This window comes from Homo sapiens, chromosome 10 (assembly GCF_000001405.40).
Source record: "Homo sapiens chromosome 10, GRCh38.p14 Primary Assembly".
In the NCBI taxonomy this organism is placed as follows: domain Eukaryota; kingdom Metazoa; phylum Chordata; class Mammalia; order Primates; family Hominidae; genus Homo; species Homo sapiens.
Window position 1 is genome coordinate 78,802,510 of NC_000010.11, and position 21,390 is coordinate 78,823,899.

A 21,390-nucleotide genomic window follows, 5' to 3' on the forward strand; every position below is an offset into this window, starting at 1 on the left:
GGGTCCCAGCTCCAGCTCTGTTGCCTTTGCAGCTCACACGTTCTCATCAGTACAGGCCGTATGGCCCAGACATGGCAGTGAGTAGGGAGGAGCTCTTCCTAAAAGCTTTCTTGGCCAGAGAGCAAAAGACAGGCTGAGCGTCCCTGACGGCTGCCTTCTTCTGTACCCAAATTTGAGCATCACAAGAGGATCAGGAAAGTCTTAGAATGGTCTCTTGGGGAGGTCCACCTGAGCCCAGGAATATGGGGGAGCCACAGGCACAAGGGCAAACCCCAGAATACCAGCTCCCTGGGCCAGGCCAGGCAGGGACTGCTGGACCCCACATGGGCGCCTGCCGTCTCCTCAGCAAAAGGCAATTTCACGACTCTCTGGGAGAGAAAAGATTTTATTTACTTCTTTTCAAAAGCTTCAGAATTCTTCCTGAACATCAAATAACTCCTGGCAAACACATCCTGATGAGTAACATGGAGTGAAATAGAACCAGATGGGCAGGCTCACTCCGGGCGTTGTGCTGGAGGAGGAAGGGCGAGTCCCACTTGGAGAGAGGCTGGGCTCCAGGCCGCAGGAAGCGCGTGGGGAGGGGGCACAGCCGTTCAGGCAGAGAGGGGCGAGTCCCCAGGACCCTGCCAGGAGACAGAGCCACTCCGCCTGCCATCTGGCTTTCTTGGGAGGAGAACAGAGGAGGGGCCTGGGGCAGCCAGTTGTACCCTGGGGTGAGGATTAAGCTGAGACTGGCAGGATGGCCACGGGGCCCTGCTGCGGGGGCTTGGGTCCTGTGGTGGGCAGTGAGGACACTGGGTGTTTTGTAGAGTCCCAGGAGACCCTCCTGGGGTAGACTCAGCTAGCTAGCTCCACAATAGCTGCTCCCCTTTTCTTTCTTACAAATGGAACCCTTGAATTTGTTCAAATCAGCAGAAGTGCTGCATGTCCCACCTCCCTGTCAACCAGGGGAGACCCTGTGACAGACCTGGCCAACCAGAAGCATGAGTTTCTGGAGGGCATGACTGGAAAGCTTTGCCCTTCTCCTTTAGCCGCTGCTCTTTCCCCTGCCCTGTGTCTGACCTCCAGACATGAGCGTGAGGCTGCAGGGGGATCTGCCATCTTCATCTTGAGCTGTGAGATAACCAAAGACGGCGGAAGAGCAGGAAGCAGCCCGGGCCCCCATGGCTTCATGGAGCCCCCACACTGTCCTTGGACCTTCATCACTGTTAGATGAAGCAGCTGTTCTTTGGATCCTCCATGACACATGGTCGAAGGCGATCCCTACGCCAAGATCGGTGGCCCCTCCGTTTAGAGCCTCCTGGCCTTTGCTCATCTCCTCCTCCCCTCCTGGGGCTCTCCTTCCTCTCCTCGCCCCCTTTCCAGTTGCCAAGGCTGGGCTCCAAGGCCTTCTTCTGCCAGAGGCTGCATCCCTGCCACCACTGCTGGCCTCAGGCCATCCCCTCATCCCCTTTCTAAGTCTACCTGAAATCTCCAGCCCTGATGTTCTGCCCCGCTACCCACAGGCCTGCCACGCCAATTTCCTGTCTTTTCAGGATCAACTTGTTAGGATCCAAAGTGTTAACTCCCTAGTTTGCCTGGGACTGAGGGGTCTTGACACAGGACTATCTGGGTTTGCAACACTGGGCCCACTGCCTGTCCCTGTCTGTCCACTGACCTGGTACCAGCACCAGACTCGGGCCCCTAGAAGGCTGTCATCATTACACCCCCAGTGCCTGACTGTTTATGTATATATATGTAGCTGGCAGTCAGTTTGTTGAATGAATGAATGAATGAATCTGTTTCCTCCAAGCAGAGCATACATTCTATTTGTTTTAAATAATAGTTAAACAAGGATAGTCTACATTTGTCATGTTTTGCAAGTCCCACCTCCACAACCCCTCACTAACAACAGCCTGATTTCCTTTCAGAATTTGCCTCTTTCCCATTGTGTGTGTTCTTGGTAGAGGAGGATTCTAGGCTCCTGCCTCCCATTACAAAAGCCAAAAGGCCAAATCCAGCTCCCCACGTCTCCTGGTCCTCCCCAGGGAGCAGGCACGTGCCCCAACCTCTTTTCTGAGAGTTTGCATCTGGAGGGAGGGATGCAGGGTGTCGGACAGGCTTCTTGGTTACCAGCAACAGAATCCAACTTGGTCAGGATTGAAGCAGAAAGGAGAATGTGTTCCAAAGGAGGTGAGGTAGCTCACAGATTCACAGGGAAGGCTGGGAACCAGGCTCAGAAACAGGCAGCATCAAGGCAGTCCGGGCCATAGTCAGGATCCCAGCCAAAGTGTCCTTAGGAAGCCAGCCCCACGTGAACATCGCTGCCCAGGCTGCCACAGCTTGCTCCAGATGCCAGGCACAGACACTGCTATTCTGAACAGCACTGCCCCTGGAAGTGGACACGGCTGCTATGATTGTTGCCCCAGCCTCCTACCACCAGCATAGATGTGTCTTGCCCTGTTCCATGCCATTGCTTCCTCCAGTCACCAACCTGGGCACATGCCTTTGCATGGACTCAAAGGGCATGGGAACTATGCAGATTTGCAGCCCAGTCCATGGTGGGAGGCTGACTCTGCCACTCCCCAACCCCAACACTTTTAAGGTAGGGGATTTATCAAGCCTAGAAAGAAGGGGTCATCCGATGACAGACAACCAGAAAGAATGACAGAAGCCACTAGACCCGGAGACAGAGGACAAGGTTGGAGGGCGTTTGTCTCAGCCTTGGCAGCATGCGGACCAGATGTTTCCCACTACAAGGTGGTGGCTGTGGCTCCTAATCCAGGCCCTTGGCAGAGGCCTGGGCTCCCGCCTTCCCCAAGCCTGCTTCTCTGGGCTCCTGTCACTTCTGTGAGCTCCCGACATCCTGCCAATAAATTCCTTTTTGCTTAAGTTAACCAGTGTTAGTGTCTGCTGGCTGAAACCAAGCAACGCTAAGTGAAACCACATGTAAACACGAGTACATGCTGCTTGTAAAACACTAAGACAGTCCTGATAAGGCTGCAGGCCTCCTGACACCACCCCTTCCAACATTCTTTCCAAAAGAAACCACTGGTATAAGCTGGATGTGTGTGTCTCAGAACTGACTTGTGCTTCTATCCCAAGTATGGAGCCCTAGTAGATTTTACCTAGAAACAATATTCTACTTCATTGAACCTAAGATGCCTTCCATTGTAAGTTGTGCCACTATTTTATGTGCTACCAGGAAGGAAAAATAGTTGCCGACTAAACAATGACCCAACATTAAGAGCTGTCAATTGCTGGTTTAAGATGTGAAAAAATGTGTGTATATTAAAACAGATGAAATATGGTCACAGTAACAACTGTTTCACCCTTACCATGGGCCAGGCACTTTCACTAGTATTTTGCTCATGTTAACTCAGTTAATCATTTAATATGCTCAATAATTCCTTGAGGTTGAAATATAATTATCCATATTTTACAGATGAGCAAACTGAGGTACAGTTACATTCAGTTGCCTGCTCAAAGTTACAAATCTAGCAAGTGGCAGAGCTACAAGTCAAAGAAATTCTGGATTTTAGAGCTTTCTCTCTTAACTACCAGTGTTATAGTGTCTGTGTGTGAGCGCAAGTATGTGCTTGTGTGTATGTATACATATGTACATGTATATGTGCACAAGATTACAGAATTGTACATTTTTTCACTTAAGAAGTATTATGCTGTATGTATCACTCTGCCCCTTGCTTTGTTAATCCAATAGGCTCTTGCATAAACATCGTCCCATTCTTTCTAGCTGCTGAAGTATACTCTTACCATAAAGTCTCTAGCCATTCTCCTACTCGTGGTCACTAAGGTTGTTTCCATTTCTGACACTTATACCAGCAAGGCTGCAGTACACACCCTTAAACAGGCCTCCATGAGCCCATGCATAAGTGTTTCTCTTAGCTAAATAGAGAAAAGTGGAACTGCCACATCATAAGGTATGTGCATTTTGAATTTTAATGGATAAACCAGCCCCTCATCCCATCAAAGCTACCACAATGATTTGCACCCCACCAGCAACTAACTTGGGCACATGTGTGTGATTTGTATCCCAGACTCCTCCTCACCAAATCCGAGGGCTGTCCAAGACCTCATCCTCCACAGCAACTGTGAGGCTTTCAATTTGCCTGACCTGCTCCCCACCCTGGAAGTTCCTCCTCCCTTGGCATCTAGGAAAATCCACATTGTTGGGGCTGCCACTACACAACTTCTTGTCTCAGTCACTCACTCCTCACTCTGTCCAGCTGTGTTGCAGAGGGGACTTTCTCAAGAGGAGTGGCATGTGATATTAAGAAGCATTCTGAGGTGACAAGAAAGGGCCTCCACTGTCACATAGGTCTGGCAGACACTGGGAAAAGCAAAGCTGTTTCAGGACTTCTTAGGGCCTTTATTGAGTGAGCTACTGTGTGATTGCAATCTCCAGAGAAGGCAGGAGGAGCCACAGAGGAGTAACTCCTACTGGTTCCACACAGTGGGCGTGTGTGCTGAGCCAGACAGGGATGCAAGCAACTCAGGGCCATCCTCCCCTTCCTGCCCTCCACTGAGGCCAGGTCCCCAGACCCTTTCCTCTCCCCATGTCTGCCTGCACCATGACCCACTCTCCACAATCTTCCTGGGCAAGGCAGAGGAAAGAAAGCTGGCCAGGAGCCAGGAGGCCTGACCACACCTTTGAAGTTTAAGGTCTTGAGTCAGTTACCTAACTTCTCTATGCGTCAGTTTCCTTGCCTGTAAAATGAGGAAAATACAGTACCTACCTAGGATACTATGTGCAGTATAAAAGCATTAATACACAGAGCATGCAGAATAGCACTTTGTGTGGAGTGAGACCCTAGCATGCCTTTGCTGCAGGAAGGCAGTAGCACTGGGTTCCAGTTTTGGCTCCATTGCCCACTTCTGTGTGACCTTGACTCCATGACTGCCTTCCTCTGGACCTCTGTTGCCTCATTTTATAACAGGGGCAGCTGGGCCAAATTTGAGGATTGAAAGAGTTCCTGCCTTCAAGGGCTCCTAGCCTGTGTCTCAGTCAACCTTGGCTTTCCCAGAGCTCAACACGGACATGACCATGGGGCCCATGCTCAGTGACTGTGGGGTGGGCTGGATTGAACAAAGTGGTCCCTGCAAGATATGGGAGGGGGCGCACTGACTAAATGAATCAACAGGACAGCCAACAGCCCTGGGACAGTCTCCAAGGCAGGATGCTGGGGGAGGCAGGAGCCAGACGAGACAAACACTCGAGGGTGTTATCAGACCATTAGGAACCTGGAAGAGGTGGGAAGTACTCAGGAAAGGTTTCCCAAAGAGGGAGGGACTCGAGATCAGCCAGGAATGATGAGTATGATTTTGCTTAGCTCCAGGGAATAAAATTAGGTACTGCAAGAGCAATTTTCACAGAACAGTCTCCAAGCGGAGAGAGCAGGGCTGGGGTGAAGGCTTGGTGGTGAAAATTCAGGCATCTGTGCAGATGTCTGGGGCACTTCCCTCCGCTTGGGTGTGAGGCAGACACAGCTACCCTGCCCAGCCTGTGCAGAGATTAGATCTATCCCCTCGCAAACAAAGCCAGGGTCTCCCACCCCCTCCACAGGCTTACCCCAGTCCTCACTGGGCTAAGCACAGCTCCGTGGGCTTAACAATCCCCCAGAGAAAGAGGGATCCTCGACAGAGACAAATGAGACACGACATCTTCCTCCCTCAGCTGCCCGGGAGACCCAGACATCCCTCACACCCGAGACGAGCTCCAGCCCTCCGCTCTCTCATTATCTTTGCTGGGGTGTCCTCAGGCCAAAATAACGCACCCAACCCCTGCCTGTACCTGGGTGTCATTATGATGACTCCTACTTGAAATTATTTGTTTTTCTCTATTGATCTTGCTTCGACACTGGAAAAATGTATTCTTTGTACAGCATTCCCAAGGGTTTAATTTGTCCATGTTGGAAGCCTTTTTTAATAGGATTCTGCCCCATTGTTTATTCTGAACATTGAGTTCCGAGAGTCGAGATTCAGCTCTTTTAATAGAAACTCATTACCAGGGTCCCTCTGCATCAGAAAACTGATACTGACACTGCGAGGAGGAGACAAATTAGGAGCCTGCCAAGGGCCCGTCTGATCAGAAGGCCCCATGAGAGGCGACGTTGCCATCCAATACCTGCCACCCTCCTCCTGTTCGGAGACCTAGGGGGTGACAGCCACCAGCTGGGCAGACCCAAGCAGCCCCTCCACCCCTGACCAGTTTCTTTCTCAGAAAACTCTACCTTGAGTGGACCCTGGTCTCCTAGAGCAGTGTTTCTCAAAGCCTGATCTGTGGGACCCTGCATCAGAATCCCTTGGTGTCCTGGGGCCAATTCAGGTGGTCAGGTCTCCTCCAGACAGTACTGCCCTTAGACGCCTGCCATGGGGCCCATACCACAGGGGGCTTCCTTGAGGGACTTCCTTCTGTTCACGACTAGTTGGGTTGGCAGTGCCATCCAGGAGGCATACCCCACACCTGGACCCATTGTGAACCCCCATCCCCATTTGTTTCTCTACCCCTGCCCCCTACTGCCTCCAGGAGCTGGCCAGATGTCCCAAAGAGCCCTGAGGGCTCATGCATATGGGGTCAGCCCAGAGCCCTGTGGTGGGCCCCTGCCCCAGGCAGGCAGCCTGGTGAGTGGACTGCTCCCACTGGCCAGCAAAGTTTTTATTTCACAGCATCACATGAGATGGAGTCAGCAGAATGGCGCTCACATGATTTTGAGTGGCTCAAATGGTTTATGTAGACAGCCTTCCCTGCAAAACAGAAAATATACTGGCCTGAAGCCCTGTACACCCCAGGGGCAGCCATGCCTCCAGATCTACTACAACAGACCACTGAGGAACCCAGGAAATTCAGGATATACCAGAAGAATAGTGACGAAAAGAAAGAGCATGGGTTTTAGAGTTATTCAAAGCTGAGCTCAAGCTGAGATTTGCAGCCAATCAGCTGGGTGATATGAGCAAGTTACTAACCCTCTCTGGACCTCACTTTGCACTCATAAACATTTTTGCTTCAGGGTGGCTTTAATAGTTCTTTCTGGAACAAGATAGCCTGCAAATCACACATATATGAAACTGGGACCATGCTTGTGATGTACCCAGAATCATACCTGGCATGTGATACGAACCTGGAATCATTTATTTGTTCAATCAACAAATATTTATTGAGATTCTGCTATGTGCCAGGCACTGCACTCAGCCCTAGTGAAACAACTAAACAGGCTCAATCCTTTGCCCACATAAGGAAAGGCAGATGTTAGATACAGGCAATTCTAAATCATTTCTTTAATGGCAGTGGTGATGGTCCTATATGGTGCAGAGCAATGTGTCATGGAGAGTAAGGGACATGCTCACGAAACCCACTGAGGAGTCACAGAGGGCTCCTCTGAGAGGTGACCATTCTATTGGGACCTGGAGGTGCAACCAGGTTTACCAAGGGAAAATAGAGACCATGAGCACCTCCTGGTCTGGTTTCTGCATCTTGGGGCACCTTCCTCTCCCTGTGATAGCTCGTTCTGGAAGTAAATAAAGATGATTGATTTGACAGCTGCTCTGCACAGAATCTATATGAGCTCAGTAGGTTTGCAGAGTATGGGAAGGCAGATAGTGGCATTGCTGAGGCCTGACTGTTGGCTAGGCATGGCACTAAGTGCCTTTCTATGCATTATCCCATTAGATACCCACAGTAGGCCTGCATGTCTCCCATTTAACAGATGAGAAAGCTGAGACTCAAAGAGATTAAGTAATTTGTCACCTAAGTAGAGTAACTGAGCTCATAAGCAGTGGATCCAGCATCCAAGCCTAGACAATGTGACCTCTTGTGCCATAGGCTAAGGCCTCCATACCCCACCTGTTACACTATCTTTAGAATCCATTCAAGGAGGTCACCTTTTCTCTGTAGAGAGGGCTGGACACACTTGGAAGTTACCTGAAAGAGAATTGGCTTGAATTATATGAAACTACACAAAACCCAGTGCAAGGTTGGAGGACAACAGACCTGGTGTCTTGTCTAGACGACCCCCAGAGTGACCTCAGGCTGTCACTTCCTCTCTTGGCCTCAGAGACCCCATTTGCAAGATGAAGAGCTTGGACTAGGCCAGTGGTTTTCCACATCTGTTCTTCAAAGCCCTGGGCTTCCATGAAGGTGGCTAGGGGCTGCCTTGGATAGGTACTGAGCATTTGCTGGAAGACAATCTCTGTGGCTGTGATAGCCACAGCACACGAAGGTGGTCATTAAAAGCTTTTTCTTCTCTAATATCATTCATTCTTAAGTCAGTCTCCATTTATGGAGCACACACCATGTGTGAGGTAGGCATGGAGGATCCAGGCAGGTCTCTGCCCCAGAACAGCTCTGAGGCCAGAGGAGGATGGTACCCAGAGCCACTGCCCAGAGTAACAAGGTGCCATGGGCTCCTTCTCAGTCTAACCAGGGGCTCAGAGGAAGGGAGTGGCAGCAGCCAAGCTAGCAGCTGAGCCCAAGGTTCTTGGCACTCAGGACTGAGTTCTTTCCCCACCCTACCTGCATCAAATAGGTTGATTTGGGCATTGAGACAATGGCCATTTTATGGAGTAAAAAGATCTAGTTAGAATCCCAAAGGGCTGGAGAGAGCGGCAGGGAGAAAGGCACAGGGGAAAGCATGAGCTGAAGCATCAGACAAAGGTAGGAGATCGGGGGAGAACCCATAGCCAAGCTGGTGTGAATCCTTTGGATGATAGAGCAAGAGCTCCTAATGGTCACAGCCAAGGATCTGCTGCTAAGAGAAGGAGGAATACTAGGGCACTTACCTGTCTGTGATAGTAACAATACTACCAGTAACAATTACTGCTATTTATTGAGCAACTGTATTAGTCAGAAGAGGCCAACCTATGCTGCAGGAATAAATAGCTCCACAATCTCAGTGACTCAGCACAGTAAAAAATTGTGTCTTGCTCACACAGCATCCATTGCAGATCCAGGGTGAATGTTCTCCCTACAGGGACTCGGCCCCATGGCTGATAGGTCCTCCACCACCCAAAGCAGCACCACCTGCAACACGTGGCCTTCTCAGTCGCTGGGCAGGAAAGAGAGGCTAGAGAAGGATGTACAGGATTTCCCTAGCAGCCTTACTCAGGGCTCTCCAGAGAAAGGGAACCAGTAGGACATATAGAAATATACAAGAGGAGATGTATTGGCTCATGTGATTATGGCAGCTGAGAAGTCCCACTAACATCTGTCTGTAAGCTGGAGAACCAGGGCAGCCAGTGGTGTAATACAGTCTGAGACTAAAGATGCAGAACCAGGAGCTCCAATGTATGAGGGTAGAAGAGGATGCCCCAGCTCAGGAAGGAAGAGAATTCACCCTTCCTCTGTCTTTGTGTTCTATTGGGACCCAAACAGATGGGATGATGCCCACTCACATTGATAAGGGAGATCTTCTTCATTCAATCTACAGATTCTAATGCTAATCTCTTTGGAAGCACCCTCCTGTGAGGTTCCATTTCTCTGGAGAGCCCTGAGTAAGGCTGTGAGGGAAAAGCCTGTACATCCTTCTTTAGCCTTTCTTTCCCGCTCAACGACTGAGAAGGCCACGTGTTGCAGGTGTTGCTGCTTTGGGTGGTGGAGGACCTATCAGCCATGGGGCAAAGTCCCTGTAGGGAGAACATTCACCCTGGAGAGCTGTCAGGATCTGCAATGGATGCTGTGTGAGTGATCACACTTTACCAGCTATCTGGGTATCCCTTAGTCCAGTCAAGTTGACACCTAAAATGAACCATCACTGCCCCAGATCATAAGTGACAAAAATGACACCAGTTTCGCTGGCTTGAACTTAGCACTTGGTCCACTAATCTTCAACGATGGGTGAGGTGGGGTGGGAAGTGCTGTCTTCTGTGTGGCTGGAAGGAGGAGAATCAAACATGGTGAGCATTAGTGATGTCTACCACAAGCATTAATGTGTGTCAGGCACTAATTAAGTACCTTACATAGATTGTTTCACTGACTCTACAACAGCTTGTGTTACAAATAAGGAAGCTGAGGCACAGAGAGAATGAACAGAAAGAATCTACCCAAAGTTAACCCAGCTAGTAATGGAAGAGTAATAATTCAATCCTAGGTGTTCAGGGTGCTTAAGTCTCTCTCCACCTCCTTCCAGAATCTCAGAGGTCATCAGTGCAACAATACTCCAGAGATGGGTGATCCATTGTCACAGTGCAGTCCTTCAGTCAACCCAATAAAGGCATCCACGTCCTCAGCATTAGGCAGATGGGAGAGGGACACCATGCTTCCCAGTGACCTGGGACCATCCTCAACCCTTTGGGATGAGAAGTCAACAGAATAAAATATTTCTCAGTGAGGAAAAGAAGTAGGTGTCTTGGAAGGGCAAACCTGGCCCGAGTGGCTTCTGTAGCTGAGAGAGAGAGAGAGACAGAGATCCCCAGAAATGGTGCAGCTCATCCCAGAACACTTCAGTCACAAATTCCAAGTGCAAGGAGTTGTAAACAGATCATCACTGTGGTTCAACCCATGCACTGGGGTCTGAAATTCCCAGTTCAGGCCAGGGGAAACAATAATAAACATTGACTAGCATATCTAGGTTCATTGACTTGAAAGGTCATATATTGATGGACAAAAAGCCAAGGTCAATATTTGATTTGAGGAACAATAAATCTTGATATCCATGGAAAGAAGCCATCGATGTAGGTGTTGTTAGGCAGAGCCAGGACGCCATCACAGCCTCCTCTGTGACCCATTAAAGGCACTCTTGTGTGGAAAATTGGGAGGAGGCTTGAGTGTGTTTAGCAGTTTTTAGGTATCTCTGAGTGAGTGTGTATTTTGAAGACAGGCCACAAAAAAGAGAAGCATACACTGTTTTCAGAAGACTGTCAGAATGGGGCCACTTTTGCCCCATTCATGCAAAAGAAAGGAAAATACCTCCCCTGTCCCCTCCCCACCTACCTGCTCCCCATAACCTGCTGATGTTGGAGATTTGCCCCCACTCTCACTGAGGAGGGATGTGAGTGGGATTTTCCCTTATCTGCTTTCCAGCTCTCTACTTGCCAATCCTTCAATGTCTTATTCTTTATCTCTCCAAGAAAGGCATGCCACTAAAACCAGAGCTGAGGCACACCTGCCAATATCTGCCTTGGAGAGGGAACTGGCTCCATTCTCCTGCCTTTCCAGGCTCTGCTCCAAGTCTTGCCCCTACCTCATGTAGAGCCTCCCAGACCCCTGGCCATCCCTGCGCAGTGCCAGGCATCTCCAGCTCCTTGGAGTGCTTACTGCCACACACCCTTCCCCTTCCTCTCTCCCCTGGAGAGATTTCACTAATCCTGAGACTCCCAGTTTGACATTGGCTCCCTTGTAAAGCCCTCCTTCCTCCTGCCCCATTCTGCCTCCATCCCTGCTGCAGCACTTGCTCCATCCCTTGGACAGTTTCTTTCTGCATGTCCATGGGTTTTCATTATCCTATGAACGACTACTTCAAAGGCAGGGGCACGTCCTTACTTAACTCTGTATCCCCGTTGCCTGGCCGTGGTGAATATCCAATATGTTGGCAGAATGAAGAGCAGGTCAATGGGATGAACAAACATACCAGATAAGGAACTCAGAGTCTGGGCCAGAGCAAGGAGGGTGCATGTGGGGCCTATAGGGATGGGAAAGGGAGGGCGCCTGAGTAGGGGGAGAGGTGGTGAGCACTGGAGGTGGAGCACGGCAGAGCATTATCCTCCCTGGCTCCTCATCCTCGCCAGCGGCTGCCCTGACAGTATTAATCAAGGCCAGAGCATGTGGAAATATCAGTCCACTGTGTTCTATTCAAGTTCTCTGGAACTAAATTATGTTGTCAGGATTGGACAGAGCAGGAATGGAAAAGACCAGGCTGGATGACATGGGGCTGTTAAAAGGAGATGAATGAGCCCAGTGGTTTCCATTCAATTTTTCAAGGTTTCCCAAGGCAGGTCTGACAAATACCACCTTATAATTCCCAGACACCCTGCGCAGTACCCTCCACACTCTCATTTTTTTTTTCCTGCCCATCAGATTAGAAGGACAAGGGATTCTTCCTTATGTCTTGCAAATGGGGCAATGGAGAAACTGGGGGGAGCACTTTGACCCAGGTCAAGGTCGGGCCAAGGTCACGCCATAAATCAGTGACACAATCAACAGGACAAACTCTGAGCTTACAGCACAATGCTCTCTCCATTACCCCACCTGCATAGCTTCTGCTGTAAAACAGAGGTGGCCAGACCTGCCTCTCAGGGCTGCTGCAAGGTGTCAGAGAGCTAACACACCTGAAACCACTTTTGACTGTAATGGTGCTATTCATTCATTCATTCATTCAGTCAGTCAGTCAGTCAGTCAGTCAGTGTTGATCCTGGACATACCATGTCCCAAGCCATGTTAGCTCTTATTTAAGGGCTGCTATAGGAGTATAGAAAGTAGCTGAGAATTAGAAACTGTTCACAGCCTTGCCACTTGACAGCTGTTTGATCTTGGGTCAGACATGAAGCCTCTCTGATCCTCTTCACAAAGTGATTGTCAGAACCAAATTAGTTAACAGCAGGCCAGCACCTAGCACAGTCCCTTAAAGGGAGTAAGTTGTAAATAAGAACTTACCGAATCTAAATGTGTTCTGCCACAAAAGACTGGGTGGCTCTTCCCTCCCTGTAGGAGGAGTGTCCCTGCAAAATGGATGTGTGTGTCGGGCTTCAAGTTCTGCAGTGTGCTGCAGTTGAGCATATCTCCCAAATCAGCAGTGAGAGAGCCTCAGTTGTAAACAAAGGACTCATTAAATTAGCATAAATTATTTTATGTAAATTAAAAATCCATGCTATGGCTTTTTATTGGTAGTGGCATCAAATCTTGCCACTGCACATGCTTGTTTAAAATTAATGTGCATAAATGCTCCAAATATTGTATTATTAATAATGATAATAATGTTGATGAGGATGATGATAATAAACACAATCTCATAGCAATGGCTATGGCTGGCTCTGAAAGCTCAGCAGGTAGTGCACTGTCATAGCTTCTAAGAGAAACAGCAAGATTACATAGCCCCTTCCTAACCACCCCAGCCCTCACTCATGGCACAATTTTGATGTCTTCACTGGGTTCAACTTACTAATGGCTTCTTCAAATCCTGCCCATTTTTTGAGGCTGTACTCAAGGCTATCTCTATGAATCAGTCAGAACATTAACTACAGAGATTTCTCCTTCCTTTTAATTTCTGAAACAACTTTTCCCCATCACTGTTCTCCATGTGTTATCTCCTTGGACTCACCTCAGATCTGTGAGGAAGGTGGCAGGTATATTTATGATTTCCATTGCATAGAGTAGAATCTACCCAAGGTCACATTGCTAGGAAATTACAGAGCCAGGACTAAAGTTTTTCTGACTCATAGGTATCAGTGAAGTGCCTAGCCAAGAGGCTTGCACATAGCAAATAATTAACCAATGTTTGTTAGGAAGAGAGAAAGAACGATGTGCATAAAAGGATGAGTAAGTGAAAAATTTGCAGAATGAAGTATTTAAAATTCCTCAATATGATGATGACCTTCTCTCTTTATTATGATCTATTCAACAGTCAGTCTACCAATGAACCTGTAAAGTGTTTGTTTTTGGAGGAACTGACCACACATTGACAAGCCCCCACTGAGTCTAAACCTAAACATAGGCCCATCCATGTGGCTTAAGGGAAGATGTACCCAGGCTGTCTACCAGCCCACAGGGCACCTTTCTAATAACTAGAGAAAGGCACCAAACTCCCCAACATAAGCAGGCTTAGTGAGCCTAGCTAGAGTTCATCCTCTTGGCCTGGTGTCAACCAATACAACCACACGTGGTGGCTCTGGATTTATTAAAGACTTCAGACTATTAAAAGGCTGAGCAATACCATCTCCCCCAGAGTTCCATGTCACTCTTTCTCCTTATGATAGCACTAGGCAGAGACTGCTTCCTAGGAGAGGGTGGGGGTGTATATGTGCACATGTGAGTGCATGCTCTTCCTGACTAGGAGATTCTCCATACCAGACACCAAGGGATTTAGGACAAATACTGGTTTCTGTACCCTGACTCAGATGGAAAAATGACATTCTTCAATCACACATGCAGGAAACAAACCACAATATTGGTGATACTTGAAAATTTGTCACCCATAGAAAGCATAGTCATTTTCCTATTCCATTAAAGTTGTTGCAGTTATCTCAAAATATTGACTACAGCAGAGGTCAGCAAACCTTTTCCATGAAGGTCCGGATAGTAAGTGTTGTAGGCATCGTAATCCATGCAGTCTCTTGCAATAACTTAACTCGGCTATTGCAGCTCTGAAGCAGTCAAAGACAATATGTAAATGAATGGACATGGCTATGTTCCAATAAAACTTTATTTACAAAAATAGGTAGTAACTCAGATCATAGTTCACTGATTCCTGATATAGCAAGTCATTACTTTAAAATTACAATAGTTAATAGGCTCTTGTTATTTAACGTGTTACTAAGGAAGCACATATATTACTATATAGACTTTTTTGTATTTTGAAAATTGCATTTCAATATAACTGGTTGCCTCTGTGACCCTATGTATTTGGTTTTATGCATTAAAAGCCATTATTCTGAGACAGACTTCATTAACTTCACTGGTCTAAGAAGGGAGTCCTTGACCCACTGGAGGTGAAGAGTCCCCAGTTATTCAATCCATCTCAGCTTCAGTTTCCTCACTGCAGAGTGGCAAAGCCAATAATAATATTATGCATGTCAGAGGGTTCTTGCAAGAATTCAATGTGGTTATGAACGTAAAGGTGTTTTGTTAACTAAAAGGAACCACAGAGATTTAAGGTATTAATATTTTTGTTTTCCCAGTGGTTCCTACTGTAGTCATCTTTACATAGTAGGTACTGAATAAGTGTTTGTTGCAGTCCAGTTAGCTGAGCCAAGAACCCGGCATTCCTTCTTGAGCAATAAGTAAGACAGGGGAAGGGGATGGGAGGGAGAGAGGGAAGGGGAGAGGGAAAGGGAAGGGAGGGAAAGAGAGGGAGAGAAAGAGAGAAGGGGAGGGAGGGAGAAGGAGAGACTAGAGAATCCTGGCCACTGTGAGTATTATTTCACAATTGTCTATGCAGAATTCCTAACCGTCACATCTATTTAGAAATTGCACTGGGGAATGAAAAGAGGAAGGGGGAGAGATGGCTATGTTTTGAGCAGAGACTTCCTGCTGATGCGGCAGGTTTTAAGAGCACAACTTGCACAGTTTGTGAAAGCACATGAACCTTGAAATAGAAATATGGACCTCTTAATTCATCTCTCTGTTATTTGATAAAGCATAAGGTAAATGAATGCAGAACATTTTCCCTTTAATTACACAAGGAGAAATGGTTGGGGGATGAGAGGTGGGGGAGCAGAGGATTGAGGGTGAGAGGCCACAGTGAAGCATTGTGCTTCCAAAGCAATGATATGGAATGGGCTTATCTGAGATTTTAGTTCTGCGGAAAGAGGCTGAAGCTCTACGCATTACAATAACAACCTCAGTGCCCAGTGGCTTCCAATCAGAATGCATTGTAAGGCAGGCAGTGGGGCAGCAGACCTCTGCCTTCAAAGGACTAGCAGTTCAGGTGCAGAAACAATTTGGAAATGCTTAAAGTGGGCATCAGTTCTGCCATGTGGTTAGGATCACGAGTCCCAGGCCCAGCTCCACCACTGAGTGGGGGCTTCTCTGAGCTCACTCTGTAGTCACTACTGGTATCCACCAAATATTTTTAGTTCTGCTCTCGCAAAGCTGACCCCTTCTCATGCTGGACAAGCAAATAAACCCTCAAACATGTCAGACAGGAGGCCTTGGGTCTAAACCCTTCCTCTCCCTCTCTCTAGACTCTTGCAATCCATCCCTTTTGGACCATCACAGACAGTTGGCCATGCCGGTGACAGCGGGCCCAGGCACAGCCAATTTGAGTGGAGGGATTTCAGAGTTATGGTGTTGCATTATTCAATTTATTTAAAGCCCTAATAGTTTCTTCCAGGCTGCTAAGAAACCCATATTTTATTCCATTTGATTGTGATTTGTTTGATTAAAAGTTGCTCTGGATACCATGTTAGAGGATAATCAGGGTTTGTGATGGGTTGAACAGTGTGCCCCCCAAATTCATATGTTGATGTTCTAACCCACAGCACCTGAGAATGTGACCTTATTTGGAAAGAGGCCCATTGCATATGTAACTAATTACAATGAGGTCACCCTTAGGGTCACTGGTCCCTGATCCAGTATGACTGTTACTGTTATTAAAGGGGGAAATTTTAACACAGACATGGACAAAAAGGAGTGCACCATATGAAGATGAAGGCGGAGATTGGAGTGATGCATCTATAAGCCAAGGAAAGCCAAAGACTGCCAGCCAATCATCAAACGTTAGGGGAGAGGCCTGAAACAGATTCTTCCTCACAGCCCTCAGATGGAACTAACCCCGCCACACCTTGATTTTGCACTTCTGGCCGCCAAAACTGTGAGCCAATAAATTCCCATTGTTTAAGCCAATGGTTTGTGGTACTTTGTTATGGCAGCCCTAGCAAAGTAATACAGGGTTCTAATTTGGTTTCCATCTGCCGGATGAATTGGGCAAGTTCTTTCCCTGGGCTTCTATTGTAAAGGCAGCACAACCCAGTGAAGGACAACAAAGGCTGGGGCCTGCCAACCTGGCCTTGCATCCCAGCTCTGCCACTTACTCGCTGTGTGACCTTGGACAAGGCCCTGAACCTCTCTATATCTCTATAGAAAGAGATAAAATACTACATAGCCTCCAAGTGGCCTCACAGCTCAAATATTCCACAAGCCAAATATAAATAAATTATTAAGAGTTTAGCATGATGAGTCATTTGCAAGACCACCAGGACTATTGTAACTGGACTATGAGCAGACAGGACCCTCTGCAGAAGATGCGAAATGAAGGAACATGACAGGTGGAAACAGAAGGCCTTCTTGCTGAGGTGGCTGATTTCTATCATAGCAGGATGTTTGTGATCCACTTGAAGTCACTGGGCCCTTCATCGAGTAGAAAGGCCAGGGCTGGTGAGCACACCTCCCAGCATAGGGCTGTCAGGATGCTGTAGGGAGGACCATGCTGCCATTGTGTCACAAAGTCCATGACTGACCATCTCTTAGATGACCACGTGGTTGAAGAGCAAGGCCACCATCTGCACCAAGAGGCAGAGCAAAGGAAACTGCAATTTGACAATTCAAAATATCTTCCACCCAGTTAATTTTTATTATTGAGTAATAACTCAAAATAAATATTTTGTTATTCTAAGTACTCTCTGTCTGTCCTGAATCGAGAAATGGCTTAGATTCCAGGCTCTTTGAGGGCCTACAAGTGTCCCGTCCTCTTCACTGCTCTCAGGGAAGTCTCCAGAGGAGCCAGCTCCCTCCGGTCACTCCCTGCAGGCCGGAAGGCCATGCATAATTAAAAACTTGGTGGGTTTTTTGCAATATTTACTGTAAACTCATGGAGGGGCTTGTTGAGACAGATTCTTAGTGTTGTGTTAGGAGCATTGTGTGTTCCTATTTCTCTGTGGAAAAAAAAAAAAAAGAGAGAAATCTCAGCAACAACACAACCTGCCCAGCAAAAATCCCAGCTGTTCCTGGCAGGAAACTGCAAGATCTCTTAGCAGCCGGCTGTTGGATGCCTAGCCCTGGACTGGGTGCTGTGTGGGGGTGGCATAACAGACAAGATAGCAAGCAAGACCTGCCCAGAGAACAGTGGAGGTCTCCCCCTCACATTCCTACCTGAGCAAGGCTCAGGCTGGGGTTTCAGCAAAGAATGGCTGAAACTGGGTGGTTCCAGGGAAGAAGAACATCCTGCAAATGCGCCCAGAGAATTCACAAGTATCAGCTGCCTGGTAGGGAAAACTTGGGCAAAGTATGTGACAGAGCTGACCCACTGCATATGCACATGGGTATAACCAGTTATGTGTTGTCACATGGCTGTGGGGCACTTGGCCAATAGTATAGAGATCACAAACACACTTTTGTGAATAAATAATGTATTAATCACCCACTCTGTGACAGGCAGTGTTACTGCAGTTGGGGACACCACGTAAATTCATAGACAAAGTAGTCAATAACTCCTGCCCTTGTGGAGCCCATATCTAACAGAACAATGGTGGGAAGTGACAACACAATCTGCAGAAGGTAGAGTTTTATGAAGACTCTGCGACTGGTTTACAATGTGACTTGCAATGTCATTGTCCCTCTTCTAGCCTTCAGTTGGCTCATCTGTAAACTGAGACAAAGAGGCCAGTATTCTCTTGAGAAGACACTGGTTCATTCCTCAACTATCTTTGTGACTAAGGACAAATTATTTAACCTCTCTGTGCCACAGATACTTCCTACCAGTATTGGAGAAACAATTGAGGCAGTACATGTAGATGGCTTTGCCAGTGCCTGGCACATAATACACCTTCAGTAAGTGCTACTATTATCTAAAGAAAGTAAGACCAAGTGAGCTTAACCCCTCCCTCTACTGTCTTGTCTTTGAGAGGTTTTCTTCTCTCCAAAGAGCTCAGGGACCACAGGTCTTTGTCTCTCCAGAGCTCAGCATCTCTCTCGGGTCTCCTGACCTGAGCCAAGTGACCTATCCCTCCACAGACTTCTTCACACGCTGCAACGGGAAGGAGCCAGCCTTGAAAGTCACTTCCTGGAAGAGGCATCATAGTAGATAACACAAGTCATCAGCTTGCTCTGTGGTCAGCCAAACCAGGTATGAATCCAGGCTCTGCCACTTAACAGCTGTGTGACCTCAGGCTGGTCATTTAATTGCTCTAGAGCACTTCAGTAGAGCTAGTGCCTCCCACCCAGGGCTGTGGTGAGGATGAAGCCAGAGAGTGAGCTAGAGTGCTTAGGATGGCAGCACAGAGACAGGGGCCAATAGGTGTTGGCAATGATGACAATAAGCTCCTAAAGAGACCCACAGCAGAAGAGAGAATAGACGTATGCCTCTAGACATCACAGAGCTCTCTTTCCCACTCTAGAAAGGAGACAGCCAACCACTGGGAAGGCCTGGAGCAATTTGATGTGAATTTTCATTAACAGCCTGAATTAAGAACATGGAAGGTGGCCTTATCAAATTTGAAAATGATATAAATTTGAAAGGAAAGATAAATAAATTAAATGAAAGTCTGATCCAAAAAGCTTTCAGCAGTTAGGAATGATAAGTGGTAGCAAAAGTCCTGTGTTTGATCCCCCAAAAGCTGACGGCACATTCTTGGTAAGGGACACATGGTTTAACAGCAGCAAGGCTTAGAAAAGACATGGAGTTTTGAATCAAGAGTGACTTTAGGCCAGATTTGTAATCCCACCACTTTAGGAGGCTGAGGTGGGAAGATCACTTGAGGCCAGGAGTTCAAGACGAGCTTGAGCAACATAGTGAGACCCTGTCTCCACAAAAAATTTAAAAATTAACTAAGCATGGTGGTGTGCTCCTGTAGTCCTAGTTAGCTGGGAAGCTGGGGCAAGAATATTGCTTGAGTTCAAGGTTGTAGTGAGGTATGATCACACCACTGCACTTCAGTCTAAGTGATGATGCAAGGCCCTGTCTCAAAAAAAAAAAAAAAAAAAAAGAATGAGTTTAGAAAAGTTAACTATATGGCGTGGCTTCAAAAGAGTTATTGCTGACTTAGGCCACATTAATAAAAGTATAGTGCCTACATAAGGGAGGTGAGAGTCCTCTATTTTACCCTGAAAAATTATTGCTCTATTTCTATTTGTCTTGACCATTTGTCAAGACAGATATTACTCTTCTAGAACATGAGCAGAAAACAGATGCAAAGGATCTCAAAACCATGCTATTATTGAATGGGCTCACCAGGAAACAAACTCTGAGATGGAGATTGCTGTATTGCAATTTTATTAGGAAGTGCTCCTGGGAACAACACCTGTGAGAGTAAAGGAAGCAAATTTGAGCAGAGGGAGAAATAGAACTGTGTTGCTGTTGCAATGAAAGCCTTATTAAACTTATGGAGAGCTGGAACTCCCCTTCAAAATTGCTCTGAATTGAGGTGAAGCAGATGGAGCTTTGTGCCTCATATCACCCAGCCATGGAGGAGGCTTGCTCCCAGGCAGAAGACAAACAGAGCTTGGACACAGTAGCTCCTTTTGGCCAAGTGCAATTCCTAGGGGGAGACTTGGCTTAGAGCCATGAGCAAGCAGCACTCTTGGAAGCTCTGGGAATGAGTGCTTAACCCTGAAGGACAGCCTGGGCAGTGCATCTCAGCATCTACTACAGTCCACCCCTTGCACCACCCAAATCTGCTTGTTTCATCTAAGTTCTGGGAACAGCATATTCTGACTCCTGGATTCCAGTTGTCTCTTTTCCTGGGGAGACTTATAGGAGGAAGGTTAGTGGGACAGATGACAGCCACCACTGCTGCATGTAGCACTCTCAGTTCCCCTCCTCCACTTCTCTAGGTTCCTTTCAGTAGCACCTAGCACCTATGGTGGTCTCTGTGCTCATCCAATATCATGCCCAGACCTTATTCCTAGAGGGTCTGAATCCCTGGCTGCCATCCCATCCTTCAGGCCTCTCTGGATCCCGGGTACTTACTTCACAGATGTCTGTGCTTCTCAAATTACACAGTTTATTCCTGTTCAAAACTGGGCAGGAAAGAACAAAACACTTCCTAGTGTATCACCTTGGTGCCAAATACATTCTTCCCTGTTCTTTCATGGCGTAACGACAGCCCAACTTCCTCCTGACAACAAGGGTCCCTTAACTCTGCCAGAATAGTGACACTTTTTCCTTGCCTGCTGGTCCCTCAATGTAAGCAGCCCAAAGACACTGTGTAATACCGTAGCTTAAAGTTTAATGGGCTTTTCCAGTGTCCCCTGATGGAAGCATGCACCCTCTGGAAACCAGGACTTCAAGACCCACAGACCCTAGTTTTGTGGAGACAGAAAGCACAGATTCCCCAAATGGGTCCTTGGGAGTGATGGTAAACAGAGACATTCCTACTTCTACCCCTTTTTCCCCACACTCATGCATTTTACTGACTGGGGATCATTTAGTGCTCACTGATTTAGGGTGCATACTGCATCCTGGGCAATGATATCCTATGCTCACAGACATCATCTCCAAACTGATGCCTCAGCTGCACTTTCAAAGGCTACTTCATCACTCTGTCAAGTCAGCAGGGTCTGGTGGTATAGTTTGTGGTAATCTCAAAGGTTCCTATAGTCTTATATAACTGTGAAGTGGTTCTCTTGGTCTGATGCAATGTTATTTATATAGGATCCTAGATTGCTGGATCAAATATTCTATAAGCTATTAGATGAGGGTGCAGGCTGAAACCCTGCAGACAAGAGAGGTAAACCCGTAGCCAGAATGTATGTCCATTCCAATCAAAATGAGTCAATTTCCCTGTCAGAATGAAAGGGGTTCAATGTAA